At 35.8% G+C, this 19,759-nt stretch overlaps 1 long non-coding RNA gene and 1 pseudogene across 1 annotated transcript in view; both read left to right on the plus strand.

Moving 5' to 3' along the window:
* Positions 1-19,759, plus strand: part of ENPEPP1 (ENPEP pseudogene 1) — a 20,546-nt pseudogene continuing 787 nt past the window's right edge.
* LOC124902811 (uncharacterized) overlaps positions 14,362-19,759 on the plus strand; it is a 25,053-nt gene continuing 19,655 nt past the window's right edge. The window contains exon 1 of the long non-coding RNA XR_007062972.1: positions 14,362-14,742. This is a non-coding gene — a long non-coding RNA (uncharacterized LOC124902811). The remainder of the gene's footprint in view (positions 14,743-19,759) is intronic.

Here is a 19,759-nt window from a genome sequence, read left to right on the forward strand (position 1 = left end):
GCCAGCCCTCTTCCTGTCACTTGGCTCCTCTTACGGAGTCCTCAAGCCACCCCCCTTGTTTCCGCATTCATCCTGAGTGGCTGGTGGCAAAGTGAAAAAGGACAGGAAAAGGCACGAGAAGCCAGAGACGGGTGTGGGAAAAGCGAAAACAGGCTGCCAAATCAGGGGATTCCTTCCAATTTAAAAAAGAAGTCTGCTGGCTTTAGTCAAATTCAACATCTTTTTATGTGTAACACTTGACTTGGGAAGCAAAACTGAACTTTGCGGAGAGAGGGCTCTAAGAGATACTACATTCAAATGAAACATGGCCATTCTCTGTGCGATGGTGGTGGGTGTAGGATTAATAGCCGGACTCGCCGTGGGCTTGACCAGATCGTGTGACTCCAGTGGGGACGGCGGGCTGGGCACTGTGCCAGCTCCTTCCCACCTGCCTTCTTCCACGGCCAGCCCGTCGGGTCCTCCTGCCCAGGACCAGGACATCTGCCCGTCCAGTGAGGATGAGAGCGGACAGTGGAAAAACTTTTGACTGCTGAACTTCGTCAACCCGGTCCACTAAGACCTGCACGTGAAGCCCCTGTTGGAGGAGGACACCTACACAGGCACCGTGAGCATCTCCATCAACCTGAGTACGCCCACCCGGCACCTGTGGTTGCACCTCGGGGAGAGCAGGATCACCTGGCTCCCTGACACCCGGCACCTGTGGCTGCACCTCCAGGAGACCAGGATCACCTGGCTCCCCGAGATGAAGAGGCCCTCGGGGGACCAGGTGCAAATCCGGAGGTGTTTTGAGTACAAAAAGCAGGAGTACGTGGTGGTCGAGGCGGAGGAAGAGCAGTGGAGATGGCCTCTATCTCCTGACCATGGAGTTCGCCGGCTGGCTGAACAGCTCCCTCCTGGGGTTCACCTACACAGAGAACGGACAAGTCAAGTAAATATTAATTTTTGCTTTACCTCCCTTAAGCTCACATATCTGCTTTCTGTTTCTTTTCCTTTCCTTTTCACTCTCCACTTTTAATTATTTTGTTGGTCTGATCTTGATTGGCTCTTGGTTTCAACTCTGGCTGTCCATCTGGGAAGCCAAAATTGTTGCCCTGTTGTATTTCCAAACCCTGTCATAAAATTTGAAAGTAGTGAACGAGCTTCGTGGAGTCAAAAGTCAGTGTAAGACTTTTATTTCACAAGGAGAAATCATAATATACTGCACCGTATCTTGAAGATTTCCATAAATATCTCAGTTTTAAAAACTGCCTTTGGTAAATTTCACTAGTGATATTCCCAGGCTATATAGCAATATATATGAGCTTTTAAAGTGGTATTACACTAAATTTACATGAAACATCAGTAAATGTCAGTTATTATTTTGTCCATTTTTTTGTCCAGTATCTCTTTTTTTGGAGAAGAGAGACATTGAAAAATCACATGTGATCCACAGAATTGTCTTTGTGTCTTCATCTGGAAAGGAAGACAGGACTGTGTCTTTTTTGTCTCCTATAGCCAGAACCGTGCTTTACACATAGGCTTTCAGGAAATACTCATTGAGTCCACACATCAGTGGCAGAGATAAATTTGGGGGCTTTTTTCTCATCATGCAATATGCAAACATAATACTAAGACTTTTACAACATAAAAGATATATTAAGTAGTTAAATACATACAAATATTTGTTCCCCCCTCAGCCCTCCAAGCAGAGATGTTTACATGTTACCTATATCTATATCTATCTATCTATCTAGATAGATATTTATTCTACTTACCCACATATTTATCTAGCCTTTGTATCGATCAGTGGCTACTACCAGAACTATACTAAAGGCATAAACTCTCTCACTGAACTCCAAAAACCTTCCTTCACACTGTGGATGTAGCCCTTGCATCAGGGAGGAAGGCTACACTACACCTTGTGTTGTCTCTGGACTGCTTTGACCTTTGCTGACTTAGATTCTGAAGAGGTAAATGATTAATAAAGCTTCATGTCACAGTTTAGAGATGTGAGTCTTGGGCCAGTCCAGCCACAAATATCCCTTTTTTCTGTGGTTTTAAGCATCTTACAGAGCAAGTAAATTTTTTGGTCAAAATTCTTTCTATTGTTTATCAGACAGACCCATGGACTAAAACAAAACATTTAAATCTTCCTATATTCCTGTGTGGTAAACTGATAAATTGAGTAGAAGTGATTGGTTTGAAGAAAATATCTGGAGGAGTCATGCTTATATAGATCCTATATCTTAATATTGCTAGCAATAAAACATTCTTACCATTTACATATTTTTTTCTGTTCATAAAAATTACATCATTGAAAGCATAAAAATTATTTAAAAAAGATAATCAAAATAATCTGTAAGTAATTTCACTGCCCAGTGGCAATCCTTGCTAGCATATTAATGTATACTCTAATGTTTTTCCAGGCAATCAAACCTTTAATTGAATTATATCTGTCTATATGCCTTTTTTACTTAATGTCTTGAGAAGTTCCCCTTATTCTTACATGTTTTCAAGAATCTGTTTTTTGTTTTTTATTGAGACAGGGTATTGCTGTGTTGCCCAGGCTGGTCTTGAACTCCTGGGCTCAAGCAATACTCCTGCCTCCACTTCTCAAAGTGCTTGGATTATAGGCATGAGCCACTGCACACAGCCAAGAATTTGATTTTAAAATGTGAAATACTGGCCGGGCACAGTGGCTAATGCCTGTAATCCCAGCACTTTGGGAGGCTGAGGCGGGCAGATCACGAGGTCGGGAGATCGAGACCATCCTGGCTAACAGGGTGAAACCCTGTCTCTGCTAAAAAATACAAAAATTTAGCCAGGCGTGGTGGCGGGTGCCTGTAGTCCCAGCTACTCGGGAGGATGAGGCAGGAGAATGGCTTGAACCCAGGAGGCGGAGCTTGCAGTGAGCCAAGATCATGCCACTGCACTCCAGCCTGGGCAACAGAGCAAGACTCCATCTCAAAAAAAAAGGATGTGAAATATTTCATTGTTTGAATACATTGTAATTTTTTAAAACAAATCTATTGTTCTATTGTTGAGCATTTGATTTGTTTCTAATATTTTATTATTATAAACAAATCACCAAAGAACATAGTTCTAAATATCTCTTTGTGTGTACATCTGTTTATTTCCTTAGGTTAGGATATAGTCCTAAAAATGGAATTGCTGGGTCAAAGTGTACAAATATACCAAGATATTGTAATAGTTATTTTGTTTATTGATAACATAAATAATATACATTTATTGAAGAAAACTCAGAAAACAGAAAATGATAAGAAAAAAATAAACTCATCCATAAATTCTTTACCCAAGTATAGCCATTGTTAACATTTAGGCAGAAACTGTTTTAGTACTTTTCTGGACATAGATAGCTATGGCATAATTATATTATACATACTATTGTGTAACATGCTTTTTCAATATAGCATCAATGTTTTAATATGCCATTTGGTGTTCTTCCACAAATGATTTGATGGATACATGGTAGGCCATTGCATGACTACAATGTAGTTGATTCACTTTTCCATTAAATGTGGGTATTTAAGTTGCTCCTATTTTTTCACCTATAAGGATCTCGAAGAAGGCACATGCTTATATTGACTGTCCTTGTAAATAACAATTTATGAACATTTTCTAATATTTCTTTAAGAAAGTTCCTAGAAGATGGGCCAAAACTACCTGTGTATAAATGCATGTATGTCTGTGTATATATATGTACATGCATATACATATATAACATATATATACATGAACATGTGTATGCATGTGTATGTGTCTCCAAACTGACTTTCAAAAAATAGTCCCAAACTCGGTTTCCACCCACAATGTATGAAAGCACCTATGTCTCTGAGCCTAACAATACAATGATTTTTTAAAAGTATTTGCCAATGGTTGAGGGAAGGGCAATATTCTGAAGAATATCCACCTTAAAGAGATTCTAAAAATTCATTAAAGTGAAAGTGAGTCAAGATTTTTAAAACATTATTGCTAAAACTTTAAAACTGCTTCTTAGGTCATAAATACAAGAGACATTTTATGTGAGTAAAATCATCAAAATATTTATAAAATAAATGAAATAAAATTTTACACATATTAGGAAGGCTAAAAATTGGAACTATGTAGTTTCCATTAATAAGTTTTTATTATGTACTTCGTAAGTCTAATAAAGCATTATGTACACAAATACTCTCACTCTTTGAGTCATTTTACTGTACCAGTTAATTTTGCCATAAAATATATACCAGAGAGCTGCCCTTCTGAAGCTCAGTTGATTTAATTTTCATTGGAGAATATGAAATGACGGCAAAATCAGTGATGAAGGCTGATGCTTAGTTCAGTTCTCACTGAGAATTGCTGTTCCCAAGTTTGTATGTTTCACTGGGAGCAGTTTAAGCTCTCACATTACACAAGATGCTACCAGTTCTGTACTGCACACATGTGGTTTTGGAACAGATCTGGCATCATCTCAATAACCTCATTTAGGCTAAGTGGAATACTTTATGTTTTCCTTGTCTGAAATATTTCAAGCATTATGGGAAAAGTGCATCATGCTTTTTTTTCAAGCCTGTGAGTAATATTTTGGCAATGCAGCCTGTAGGAGTTATGATCCACAGGCTTTATGTAAGAGCCACCAGAGGGAGTTCACTGGGGCAGAGCCATTCTTTCATACTACAGAGTGAGCTTCATCATATATGATGTTTGTATCATTTAAGATGTCATCGTAGTAGTACAGAGTCAAAATTATATTTTTGACCTTAACGTAAAATGTAACTCCAGATTGAGTATTACCATTTAGGGATATTAATGTGACAACCACAATGCAAACGAAACAGGATTGCACTCAGTAGTAACCAAAATTACTTAATTTCTGTAAATACAATCAGGACTTTGAGCTTCACAAACTTCACAGCTACCAAAGATGCTTTCTCTCAAGATTGAGATATGGGGAAGAAAGGGGACACAATTTAGAATTCCACATTGTCTTTCTAGGGACAGATTTGTAGTGGGGTATGGGAGGAGAAAGTTTGAGAAACATCCAGTCACTTTTCCTTTATTGATCTACCTCTTCCTACTCTAGTCTATTCGTTAGGGTCTGAGGAAAATCATTTGGAAGGATTGGAGTCTTTGGAATGTTTCTCTGACCACACCCTCCTTCTTCCCATTTTCTCACTGTATTATGCAGGATTTCCAGCTGTTCCCTTCCCTAAAAGAATTTCCCTCTACTCAAACTCCAAAGTATATGTTTTCTTCTCTCCAAGATTTGGCTTTTCCTTGTCAGCATTTGAATTATGCTTACTTAGCATTTCCCAAAGTATGTACTGCAGAATTCTAGTTGCGTGGGGATCTTAGTAGATATTACCAGAAAAATGGCAGGGGAGAGATTCTGTGGCTAAATCACTTTATGCAATAATACCAAATACAAAATGATCTGTTTTGGATTTTGTTTTTTAATTATGGAAGTTTTTAGAGACTTTTTTTTTAAGAGATGAAGTCCAGGCTGGGATAGAACTCCTGGCTCAAACTCATGAGTTCATGAGTTCAAGTGATCCAACCACCTCAGCTTTCTGAGTTGCTGGGATTACAGGGTTTACAGAGGCTTTTATATGATAATGTCCACTATGTAGTTTCCCAAGTATCTGTGACTATGGATTCTTCTGTGGGGTTCCTAAGAGTAGGGATATATGTCTCTCATTTACTGTTTGGCACACAGTGAGCACTGAAATATTGTTAAATTGAATATATTGAAATATTTTCATATAAGCTCTCACATGATTAGTATCCTCTGGCAAATGCTGGGACACATTGCATTACCACAGCTCCTTTCCCATAAACGAGGCTAACTTCCACCAATAACATCTCTACAATCCCACTTAGGGTGAAAGTTTCCTTTTCTCCCTACCCTGTGGAAGGGAAGAGTTTATATGTGTATGTGTGTGTGTATGTGTATATATATAAAATATATGTTATATATAATATATATAGTATATTTTTACATATAATATATATTTATTATGTATTGTATATAATATATATTGTATATAATAGTTTATATATTACATATATTATATAATAAATATATTATATACTATATATATTATATAATATATATAATATATAATGTATATAATATATAATATATAATAAATATATTATGTATAATTATATATACTATCAATATATAATAGATAGTATTAATACATAATAGATAGTATTAATATATAATAGTATTAATATATAATAGATAGTATTAATATATAATATATATTATTAATATATAATAGTATTAATATATAATATATAGTATTAATATATAATAGTATTAATATATAATATATATTATTAATATATAATATATAGTATTAATATATAATATATATTATTAATATATAATATATAGTATTAATATATAATATATATTATTAATACATAATATATTAATATATAATATATTATGAATATATAGTATATTAATAATATATAATATATATTCATAATATATAACATATTATTAATATATAATATATATTAATAATATATAATATATTATTATATAATATATATTATTAATATATAATATATTATTATATAATATATAGTATTAATATATAATATATTATTAATATATAATATATAGTACTAATATATAATATATATTATTCATATATAATATATATTATTAATATATAATATATATTATTAATATATAATATAAAGTATTGATATATAATATATCTTATTAATATATAACATATAGTATTGATATATAATATATAGTATTAATATATACTATATATTAATAATACATAATATATAGTATTAATATATAATATATATTATTAATATATAATATAAAGTATTGATATGTAATATATAGTATTAATATATAATATAAAGTATTGATATGTAATATATGATATTAATATATACTATATATTAATAATATATAATATATAGTATTGATATATTATATATTACTAATATATTAATATATCATATATATTCATATATTACATATTATTATGCATTATATATAATATATCATATATTATACATTATATATAATATATATCATGTATTATACGTTATATATAATATATATCATGTATTATACGTTATATATAATATATATCATGTATTATACGTTATATATTATATATCATGTATTATAAGTTATATATAATATATATCATATTGTACGTTATATATAATATATATCATGTATTATACGTTATATATAATATATATCATATATTGTACGTTATATATAATATATATCATATATTATACGTTATATATAATATAAATCATATATTGTACGTTATATATAATATATATCATATATTGTACGTTATATATAATATATATCATATATTATACGTTATATATAATATATATCATATATTATACGTTATATATAACATATATCATATATTATACGTTCTATATAATATATATCATATATATCATATATTATACGTTCTATATAATATATATCATATATATCATATATTATACGTTATATATAATATATATCATATATATCATATATTATACGTTATATATAATATATATCATATATATCATATATGTTATATGTAATATATCATATATTACACGTTATATATAATATATATTATACGTTATATACGTTATATATAATATATATCATATATTATACGTTATATATAACGTATAATATATAATGTATATCATATATTACATATAACGTATAATATATAATATATATTATATATTACATATAACGTATAATATATATAAAATATATAATATATATTATATATAATTTACAATATATAATATATTAATAATATATATAATATATATATTATATATAAAATATATATTATATATATTATATATAATATAAAATATATATTATATATATTATATATTATATATTATATAAAATATATTATATATAATATATATTATATATAATATATAATATAAAGGATATATTTTATATTATATATAATATATCTAATATATATATTAGATATATTATATATAATATACAATATATTGCATATATTATATATTATATAAAATATATATTATATATATTATATATTACATATATGTAATATAAAATATATATTACATATATTATATAATATAAAATATATATTACATATATTATATATAATATAAAATATGTATTATATATATTATATATATACATATATACATATACATATATGTATATGTATACATACATATACATATAATATATATTACATATATAATATATATAAAATATATTAATTATATATATAATTATATATATAATATATTTAATATATTATATATAAAAATACATATATAAATATATATATATTTGTATTTAGGAATGCAATCTCCATAGTTTAAAGGCAAAGAAACAGTGGAATTGACCGGAAGTACAACCGGAATTTTAAAGAGATCATCTCTAGTTTGGGCTTCCAAGGTGTTCTTTGTAGCACTAGTAGGATTTAAGCTGAATTTTGATGTTATGGTGGGAGTTCAGCAGCAGAGACAAATGGGGAAGTAAAAGCAGGCAAAAAGGAAAGGCACCAAGTTAGAAAAGCATAGTGGGGACAAGAAAATTAGTTTGTAGGGGAAGTTTATATGAAAAGGCTAGCTAGGTATCACTGAGGAAAACCCATATGGAGGAAAAGGAAAAATAGCCATGATAGGCATTATGAAGGAGAAATTACCTGGTGACTTTTTGTATACAGATGGTGAAAGAAAGAGTTAACTATACACTTGGGTATATGAAAGCTATTGCAACAAGCCAGGAAAGAGAAGATAAAGATCAGATAGGAAAAGTGATTTCAGGATAGAGAAGAGATGGCACAATGGAGAAAATAGTTTGGAGGTAAAGTAAAGATTTGCCAACTGATTGACTATGAGGAAGAGTGAGTTAATGTTATGCATCTAGGATACACCAGCTAGCCTTCACTTCAGTTGATATTGGAAATAGGAGGGAAGTGGCCAGGTTAGAAGGGAGGGTCATAAGTTCAGTGTCAGATGTTTTGATGGCTTGTCAGACATCTAGGAAGAGATGACTAGTAGGCACTTGCATAAGTAAGTCTGAAGCACAGGTTAGAGCTTGTAATAAAGATTTAGAAGTTGAGTGGAGACATCAGTGAGACAATCATCATTAAGAGTGTGTGTGTGTTTGTGTGTGTGTGTGTGTGTGTGTAATGTATTTTTATGTGCATGGATGTGTATTTATACTCAAGCAAATGTAGTTTTGATCTTGAAATTTTTGTTGTATGTCTGTTTATTCATTATATTCTTAGATTGGTATGCTGAGATATTATCCCACTGTCAATAAAAATGTCAATAAAGAATAGATTTTCGGTTGGGCAAGGTGGCTTATGCCTGTAATCCCAGCACTTTGAGTGGCCAAGGCAGGCGGATCACCTGAGGTCAGGAGTTCGAGACCAGCCTGGCCAACATGGTGAAACCCCATCTCTACTAAAAATACAAAAATTAGCTGGGGGTAGTGGCACATGCCTGTAATCCCAGCTACTCTGGAGGCAGAGGTGGGAGAATCACTTGAACCCAGGAGGTGGAGGTTGCAGTGAGGCAACATTGTTCCACTGCACTCTAGCCTGGGTGACAGAGTGAGACTCCATTTCAAAAACAAAAAAAGACTTTAATCCATCTTTAATTGATTTTTGTATAGGTGTAAGGAAGGGATCCAGTTTCAGCTTTCTACATATGGCTAACCAGTTTTCCCAGCACCATTTATTAAATAGGGAATCCTTTCCCCATTGCTTGTTTTTCTCAGATTTGTCAAACGTTAGACCTAAAACCATAAAAACCCTAGAAGAAAACCTAGGCATTACCATTCAGGACATAGGCATGGGCAAGTACTTCATGTCTAAAACACCAAAAGCAATGGCAACAAAAGACAAAATTGACAAATGGGATCTAATTAAACTAAGGAGCTTCTGCACAGCAAAAGAAACTACCATCAGAGTGAACAGACAACCTACGAAATGGGAGAAAAATTTTGCAACCTACTCATCTGACAAAGGGCTAATATCCAGAATCTACAATGAACTCAAACAAATTTACAAGAAAAAATCAAACAACCCCATCAAAAAGTGGGCAAAGGACATGAACAGACACTTCTCAAAAGAAGACATTTATGCAGCTAAAAAACTCATGAAAAAATGCTCATCATCACTGGCCATCAGAGAAATGCAAATCAAAACCACAATGAGATACCATCTCACACCAGTTAGAATGGCAATCATTAAAAAGTCAGGAAACAACAGGTGCTGGAGAGGATGTGGAGAAATAGGAACACTTTTACACTGTTGGTGGGACTGTAAACTAGTTCAACCATTGTGGAAGTCAGTGTGGCGATTCCTCAGGGATCTAGAACTAGAAATACCATTTGACCCAGCCATCCCATTACTGGGTATATACCCAAAGGACTATAAATCATGCTGCTATAAAGACACATGCACACTTATGTTTATTGTGGCATTATTCACAATAGCAAAGACTTGGAACCAACCCAAATGTCCAACAATGATAGACTGGATTAAGAAAATGTGGCACATATACACCATGGAATACTATGCAGCCATAAAAATGGTGAGTTCATGTCCTTTTTAGGGACATGGATGAAATTGGAAATCATCATTCTCAGTAAACTATCGCAAGAACAAAAAACCAAACACCGCATATTCTCACTCATAGGTGGGAATTGAACAATGAGATCACATGGACACAGGAAGGGGAATATCACACTCTGGGGACTGTTGTGGGGTGGGGGGAGGGGGGAGGGATACCATTGGTAGATATACCTAATGCTAGATGACGAGATAGTGGGTGCAGCGCACCAGCATGGCACATGTATACATATGTAACTAACCTGCACAATGTGCACATGTACCCTAAAACTTAAAGTATAATAATAAAAAATAAATAAATGAGTAAAAGAATACATTTTCTTTTTGGTCTTGTTTACTTGATGCAGGAGGCTAAGTAAATTTCTTTTTTTTTGGAAGCAAGGAAACAAAAAGAAATTTTACCTGACCTTGAATATCTTCTACAAAGAAAAACCGCAATTGGTAAATAAAGTTAAATAACTAACTGATTCATTCAAACCACCATAAAAATACATAGAGGTCTTAACAATCTAGAGGGGTTGTTTTTTACCAATCTCCCCTATGTAATTCTGGAACACTTCATTTAGTCTATATAGACCCCTAGCAAATGTGACTACCTGTCCTGAATCAGAAGCTCTATATTTAAGGATTTCATCCAAAACTTGCTGTTTATTTTGCTGGTTCAACTTATTTGCTCAACACAGTCAGAGTCTTCACTGGAAACAGTGTACCAAAAGATTTATGAGATAATTAGGTACCTTTTTTTTTTTTTGAGTCGATTCAGAGTGATCCAAACCATAGCTTGTGCCATCGCCCCTTCTCCTTCAGTTTTCTCTAAAGTCACCTTGATCTGATCCACTCAGGTGCCAGAGAAATGCTCTTCCCTTTTGGAAATGACTAAATTGCATAGACTATCATTTTATTGTGCTAAGTCTAGTAAGTGACCTATTAATGTGGCATAGGGAGGCCCTTGTGGGAAAGTGGTTTACTCCAACACATTTGCCTGGTGTGATAATTATTCAGGACATACCCACGAGTCACTCCTGAACATGTGGTACTATTAGTCAGCCTTTTTCTCTTAATTTGCAATGCAAGTCATCTGATTTTAATCACTGAATAAAACCTTCCCAAAGAAGTTGTGATCTAGAATTGTTTTGTATTGTTATCTCTTACTCCTTATTTTCAACTTTGCATACACTTAGAAAGTTTAGGGCCGACTGATGGAATTCAGGATATATAAAAGCAGCTTTTGAGTTATTCTGAAGTTCATGAGAAAAAGAACAGGCTACCATTTTAAAAATGCTTATATTGCCCATAGTGTATATACACCAAGTAATTTTGTTCCAGTATATGTTGCAGTCAAATGAAAGAATTTGAAATATTTCAGATTGTGAAAGTGCTATGCCAGAAAGCACAGTTAGCATTCTAGATTTATAAGATGTAGAATGATGTATATCCTAACTGGATTATGTAAATTTTAAGGAGGTTTCAAATGTATTACTACATGTAATCTACCCCTGCTCACTTCCCCATAATGCTGTGAAGAAGCCATGCATGCTCTCGTGACCAGGTTTTACAGATGAGGACACTAAAAGTCTTAGGTTTTGTGACTTGGTCAAGATCACACTTAAGTGGCTGAAGTAGGATTAGGATGTAAGAATTTTTGCTCTTAGGAAAGGGTTTTCCCCATAAAATCATATTGGTTCTGAACTTTAAAAAAAGAAAAAGAAAATAAACATTATATAGCTCTTCTGATTGATGAATATCACTGTATCTATATCTGGGTCACTGTGATTGAGTTAGACTTGCTGTGATTGACATTTGCTGAGAGGACCACAGAGCTGGACCAAACACACTCCACGGAGAAATCTCCCACACTGTTCTGTTCCATGTCCATTGGCAAGCTCAGGAATACACTAATTTAGGAAGGTAGTTTTTGCCTACAATCAAGCAGAATGTCTTTTAAAGAGAGAAGGTGAGAAAAGGATTGAAAAATCTTTTCTTTCCTGGGTTCTTAGGATTTTATACATATATGTATTTTCTAGCATCCAGCCAAGAGTAAAATAGAATATTTGAAAACATTCTCATGGCTATAGCTTAGGAAAGTGTGATTCCACTCCCTCCTTCCTCACACCTCCCACACATGAAGATGTGTGTGGTGCGCATGCATGCGCACTCATCTTCTCAAATTAGTTAGCTGGCCTATTTCTGAGTTGTGACTCAGCTGAGACCTTCTTCTGGTGAGTGACTTTTCCTTTTCCTCTGCCTCTGGAAAACATCAGAAGCCAGAAGAATTCAGAAGAAAAAGGCAGCTGACTAAACATGGGGTTGGAGCTTGATGGAACTTATTATAAAACTTTCATACTCTGGGAAAGTGTACAGACTTTTTTAGAGTCTGATATATTTACCATTAACTACAATCTGCAAGATGTTTAGAAGCTTCAATTGACTAAAGTGTTAATGTCACAAAACTAATCAGTGAATGTTCTACTGCAGAATGAATTCTTAACTGAGGCTTTTCTTGGGTAACTTTATTGTGACATAATTTCAAACTCATAGGAGAGTTATAAGAATGGTACTAGTGAGAGGTGACAGCGTGCTGGCAGTCCTCACAGCCCTCGCTGGCTCTCCACACCTCCTCTGCCTGGGCTCCCACTTTGGAGGCACATGAGGAGCCCTTCAGCCCACCGCTGTACTGTGGGAGCCCCTTTCTGGGCTGGCCAAGGCCGGAGCCGGCTCCCTCAGCTTGCAGGGAGGTGTGTAGGGAGAGGAGCAAGCGGGAACCGGGGCTGCGTGCCACGCTTGCGGGCCAGCTGGAGTTCCGGGTGGGCATGGGCTTGGTGGGCCCCACACTCGGAGCAGCCAGCCGGCCCTGCCGGCCCTGGGCAATGAGGGGCTTAGCACCCAGGCCAGCGGCTGCAGAGGGTGTACAGGGTCCACCAGCAGTGCCGGCCCACTGGCACTGCACTTGATTTCTCGCCGGGCCTTAGCTGCCTTCCCACGGGGCAGGGCTCCGGACCTGCAGCCCACCATGCCTAAGCCTCCCCACCCACTCCGTGGGCTCCTGTGGGGCCCAAGCCTCCCCAACGAGCGCTGCACCCTGCTCCATGGCACCCAGTCCCATCGACCACCCAAGGGCTGAGGAGTGCGGGCACACTGCGCTGGACTGGCAGGCAGCTCCACCTGCAGCCCCAGGGCGGGATCCACTGGGTGAAGCCAGCTGGGCTCCTGAGTCTGGTGAGGATGTGGAGAACCTTTATGTCTAGCTCAGGGATTGTAAATACACCAATCGGCATTCTGTATCTAGCTCAAGGTTTGTAAACACACCAATCAGCATCCTGTGTCTAGCTCAGGGTTTGTGAATGCACCAATGGACACTCTGTATCTAGCTACTCTGGTGGGGCCTTGGAGAACCTTTATGTCTAGCTCAGGGATTGTAAATACACCAATTGGCACTCTGTATCTAGCTCAAGGTTTGTAAACACACCAATCAGCACCCTGTGTGTAGCTCAGGGTTTGTGAATGCACCAATCGACACTGTATCTGGCTACTCTGGTGGGGACTTGGAGACACTCTGTATCTAGCTAATCTAGTGGGGACTTGGAGAACCTTTGTGTCTAGCTCAGGGATTGTAAACGCACCAATCAGCACCCTGTCAAAACAGACCACTGGGCTGTACCAATCAGCAGGATGTGGGTGGGGCCAGATAAGAGAATAAAAGCAGACTGCCCCAGCCAGCAGTGCCAAGCCGCTGGCATCCCCTTCCACACTGTGGAAGCTTTGTTCTTTTTTGCTCTTTGCAATAAATCTTGCTGCTGCTCACTCTTTGGGTCCACACTGCTTTTACGAGCTGTAACACTTACCGCGAAGGTTTGCAGCTTCACTCCTTAAGCCAGCGAGACCAGGAGCCCACTGGGAGGAAGAACAACTCCAGACGCGCCTCCTTAAGAGCTGTAACACTCACCATGAAGGTCTGCAGCTTCACTCCTGAGCCAGGGAGACCACGAACCCACCGGAAGGAAGAAACTCCGAACACATCCGAACATCAGAAGGAACAAACTCCAGAGGCGCCACCTTAAGAGCTGTAACACTCACCGCAAGTGTCACCGGCTTCATTCTTGATGTAAGTGAGACCAAGAACCCACCAATTCCAGACACACTAGGAATTCCTAGAAATACTTAAACTAGATAAACCAGTTGTTTACATTTTAGCCTGTACCCCTTCCCCTTCCTTTCCAGAGCACATGGAAACATCCTCTCCCTTTACCCGTTAACATAAGAGCATATTTCTTAAGTATGGGGTCATTCTCTAAAATAACCATAGTACGGTCATCAAAATCATGAAATTTAACATTGATACAATTATCCAATTCACAGTCTGTAACAGAATTTTATCAACTAACCTAATGATGTCTTTTTGAATGATTTTTTTTTCCCAGTCCAGTACCCAGTCTGGAATTTAGCGTCATGCACTTTTAGACTCTTTTAAACTGAAACCAGTCCTTTAGTCCTTCTTCGTCTTTCTAAAGTTAATATTTTTTGAAGAATACAGGCAAGCTATTTTGAGAATGTCCCTCAGTTTTAATTTGTCTGATTTTCCTCATGATTTAAAAATGCAAGTTAAGCTTTTTGTTGTTGTTGTTGTTGCTGTCAGGACTATCACAGAAGTGATGTGTCTCTCTCAGGAAATCACATTAGAGACACACTGTGCTGATTTGAACTATTGTTAGTGATGCTTGCTTTGATAGCTTGCTTAAGGTAGTGTCCAACAAGTGTCTCCATTGTAAAGTTACGATGTTTCTCTTTAGGTAACTTTCAGGGAGTTGTTTTTGAAACCTTGCAAATATCCCTTCCTTACCAAAGTTTCATCCCCTTGTTTTGGCATCCACTGATGATTTTTTAAATATCAATTTTTTCTTCAAATATTATTAGTAGACAATCTACTGGAAGGAAGAAATTTCCCTTCTCACCCATTTATTTCTTCATTTAAAAAATCAGAGTAAGGACTCAAAGATTATTAATTTATTCAATGAGTTGTAATCCCATTGTTTATTTTGATGTTCCAATACTCCCATATTTGGCCAACGGCAGTCAAATCTTTGACTGTAATAAATCCTTGAACCAAAATAAAATGCATGCTCTTCTCATGATTGCTGATATTTTCCTGATCTGGCCTCTGCCGACCTCATGTCAAACTCATCTCTGGCTCCAGTCCCTCTGGTTCAGTGTTCTTTAGCCACACTGGACACCTTTCAATTCTTCAACCACATCAGGTTCTTTTTCATCTTAGGGACTTTGCACTTATGGTTCCTTCTGCTTGAACATATTTTCCTGAATCTCCACTTGCCTGGCTTTTTCTCATTATTCAGATCTCGGCAAACCAAGAGATTGTGACTACTCTACTTAATGTTGCTTACCACTTTTCCTAGTCATTCTCTATCTCTTCCAATGTTTTATTTTCTATATAGCTATCATCACTGTCCTAAATTATTTATTTGTGTGTCTCTTGTCTAACACCCTGTAAGCAGTACGGAATCTTATCTATACATGTAACTGCCCAATGGGTTCACCTTGCCCACTGCCTAGACAGAGCCGATTTATCAAGATGGGGGGAATTGAAATGGAGAAGGAGTAATTCACACAGAGCCAGCTGTGCAGGAGACCAGAATTTTATTATTACTCAACTTTGTCTCCCCCAGTATTTGGGGATCAGAGTTTTTAAGATAATTTGGCAGGTAGGGGCTTGGGAAGTGGGGACTGCTGACTGGTCAAGTTGGAGATGGAGTCATAGAGGGTCAAAGTGAGTTTTTCTTGCTGTTTTCTCTTCCTGGGTGGCATGGCAGAACTGGTTGAGCCAGATTACTGGCCTGGGTGGTGTTAGCTGATCCATCAAGTACGGAGTCTGCAAAATATCTCAAGGGCTAATCTTAGGTTTTACAGCAGTAATGTTATCCCCATGAGGAATTTGAGGAGGTTGAGACTCTTACAGCCAGAGGCTGCATGACCCCTAAACTGTAATTTCTAATCTTGTACCTAATTTGTTAGTTCTGCAAAGGCAGACTGGTCCCTAGGGAAGAAGGAGGTCTTTTCAGGAAAGGGCTATTATCAATTTAGTTTCAGAGTGAAACCATGAACCAAATTCCTTCCCAAAATTAGTTCAGCCTGTGCTCAGGACTGAACAAGTACAGCTTGAAGGTTAAAAGCAAGATGGAGTCGGTTAGGTCTGACTTTTTTCACTCTCATAATTTCCTCTGTTATAATTTTGCAAAGGCAGTTTCATACAGCAGCTAGACAAATGTCTGCACATGTGTGCATGCATGCATAGGTGCTTGTGTGTGCATGTGCGTGTGTGGAAGGGGATCAATTAATATTTCTTGGATGAATGGATGATGTAATAACTTAGCCTGATATTGTTTATGATATGTCTTCCTTAGTTTCAAGAATCCTGAAAGACAAAATTTTTCCTTACACAAATTATTAATGAATAGAAATTACCATTTCTTTTTTATACTTTTTACTTTGCTTCATTTTCTAATAAGCAAATATATAATATTCTCTTACTGTAATACATTTACATGTAAAAAGTGTATGTTTATTGTTTTTTTGAGCAATTACTCAGAAAATAATATTTTCACCTTGAAATTATGAAAATACTAAACATTAACATTTTAGTTTACACAAGTATAAGCCTAGTTAGAGCCATAAAAATAAAATGCTGTTTTCTCTTTTTAAGAGTGAGCTTTAAACTAAGACAAAGGTTACTTCATCTAAGAGATTACTCAGCACTGCCTTTACATGGAAATGAAACTAGGGTTTTGTCCCTGGTGTAACATAAATAACAAAGAATGTGTCATTAGGGACAGGGACTGGGGACTCTGGAATAAACATCACTCTGTGACAGAAGACAGCTGTTCACTTCCCATAAGGGCAGTTAGACACAAGCTTTTGAGTTTGGCTTTGTGTTTATCTACTTGTTGCTCAATGGCTTTGGGGTGGAGAGAGTACTAGCTCATAATTGGATTTATTTTTGCTTCTCCACAGATTTTTAGTTGTGGCACCAAAATAGCTGTTAGGTTGGTGCAAAAGTAACTGCGGTTTTTGACAAATAAATATGTGAATGAAATATCTGAAGCAATCTGTCTCAGGATTTTTTAAAAATTTGTTAACCTAAAAATTCCAGGAAAACCTTTGACAAATATTTGATCATTTTCTAGATGGTACCTCATTTTTAGAACTGTAATAGTTATAATTGCATAGCTGATTTATTTTTCCCTAGGAATAGAGACATAGGGGTTGTCAGAAGAGGCAGCATGCATTTTGTTTGTGTGTTTGTTTCTAAGGAGCATAGCGGCCACTGATCATGAACCAACAGATGCCAGGAAATTCTTTCCTTGTTTTGATAAGCCCAACAAAAAGGCAACTTATACAATATCTGTCACCCATCCCAAAGAATATGAAGCACTTTCACATATGCCAGTGGCAGTAAGTATTTTTTAAATGTTTTGTTTATGCAGAGAGTCTGTTGACAACATTAGGTCAATTACCTGATTTTTGGTGAAAGAAAACCCATTGAATTCTAAAACTAAATGTGCACTAATAGTTTATTTAGCCGAGTGAAATACATTTTGGCAATCTTTTTCTTTGAGTCCTGGAAGTTTTTAAGATATCACAGTCCAGTAAGAAAGCCACATTGGTGTTTCTACACAAGAGACAATGCCATAGACACATACATCAGCTTGAGCTCTGCTTAGCTGCCAGAATCCCTGAGTGAGTCATGATAAATTACAGTAATGGCAAACTAATGGAATTACAGACTTGAAAATATTTGAGGGCTACTCAGTACTTAGTTTTCAGGTGACTATAAACCCAGTTTTTTTCTTTTTAAAGATAAAGCTACTATAAAAAAATCACTTAAATACTGGGTTGTGGAAGCAAACTCCAGGAAATACTCTGCCCATAGACTCCTTTGGTGATAGGAAGTGCTTATTAAATGTCTGGAGAAAAAAATAACAGGCTGTAAAAAAGGATGAGTTCATGTCCTTTGCAAGGACATGAATGAAGCTGGAAACCATCATTCTCAGCAAACTAACACAGGAATAGAAAACCAAACACTGCATGTTCTCACTCATAAGTGGGAGTTGAACAATAAGAACACATGGACACAGGGAGGGGAACATCACACACCAAGTCCTATCAAGGGCTGGGGGGCTAGAGGAGGGGTAGCTTTAGGAGAAATACCTAATATAGATGACGGGTTGATGGGTGCAGCAAACCTCCATGTCATGTGTATACCTATGCAACAAACATGCACGTTCTGCACCTGTATCCCAGTATAATAAACAAATAAATTAATTTAATTAAATTTAAAAAAGAGAAAAAATAACAGGCTGATAATTTCTGCCTGTATTAATTATTCATTAACATAAAACACTTTTTTCTGCTATTGCCTCTTATCTCCATAATGGATAATGTTGTTACCTAGGGTACCTCAAAGTTGAGGTTTACATACTTTATAAATTTGACATGTAAAAGGGTCAGGCTCATCTTTAGGTATAATAATGAGAAGGACACCAGCCCCAAATTATGTCTCCCATCTTTCTGATCCACTATTTGAAATATTATCATTAAAATTTGTCTTTTTAAATGATAAAGTATTCCTTGAAAAAGCAACAACAAAATAAAGCAAATAAAAGCTTCAGAGGATTAAAATGTACTCTTAGCAGCCATCCCTGCCTCAATGAGAATTAATTATCAATGTGTTTTCTTCTAAGGTTTGATTGGAGAAGAAAGAGGAAAGGATAAACTTAAAGTATGACACACCAATCTAGATGAAGGTGGGGGGAAAAATGGCAAATTCACCCACTTCTGTTTAAGATCTTCCCTTATGGCCGTTTCACTGTGCAGAGTTACACTTCACCTTCTACTAGATCCAGATAGTAGTCCTGGAAGAAGGGGAATATTCTGGGTTCTTAGGAGATCAAAACTAACACTACTAGGTTTTTATGGTAGAGTAATGTAGCCTGGAGCCCCACCACAATTATACACCGGCACGCACACACATGCTTGAAGCATCAGCAGCACCCATTCTAGTCCAGCCTCCCTCACTTAATCTCTTTTGAAGCCATCTCAAATAGAGTGAC

This window comes from Homo sapiens, chromosome 11, assembly GCF_000001405.40.
Source record: "Homo sapiens chromosome 11, GRCh38.p14 Primary Assembly".
Taxonomy (NCBI): Eukaryota; Metazoa; Chordata; class Mammalia; order Primates; family Hominidae; genus Homo; species Homo sapiens.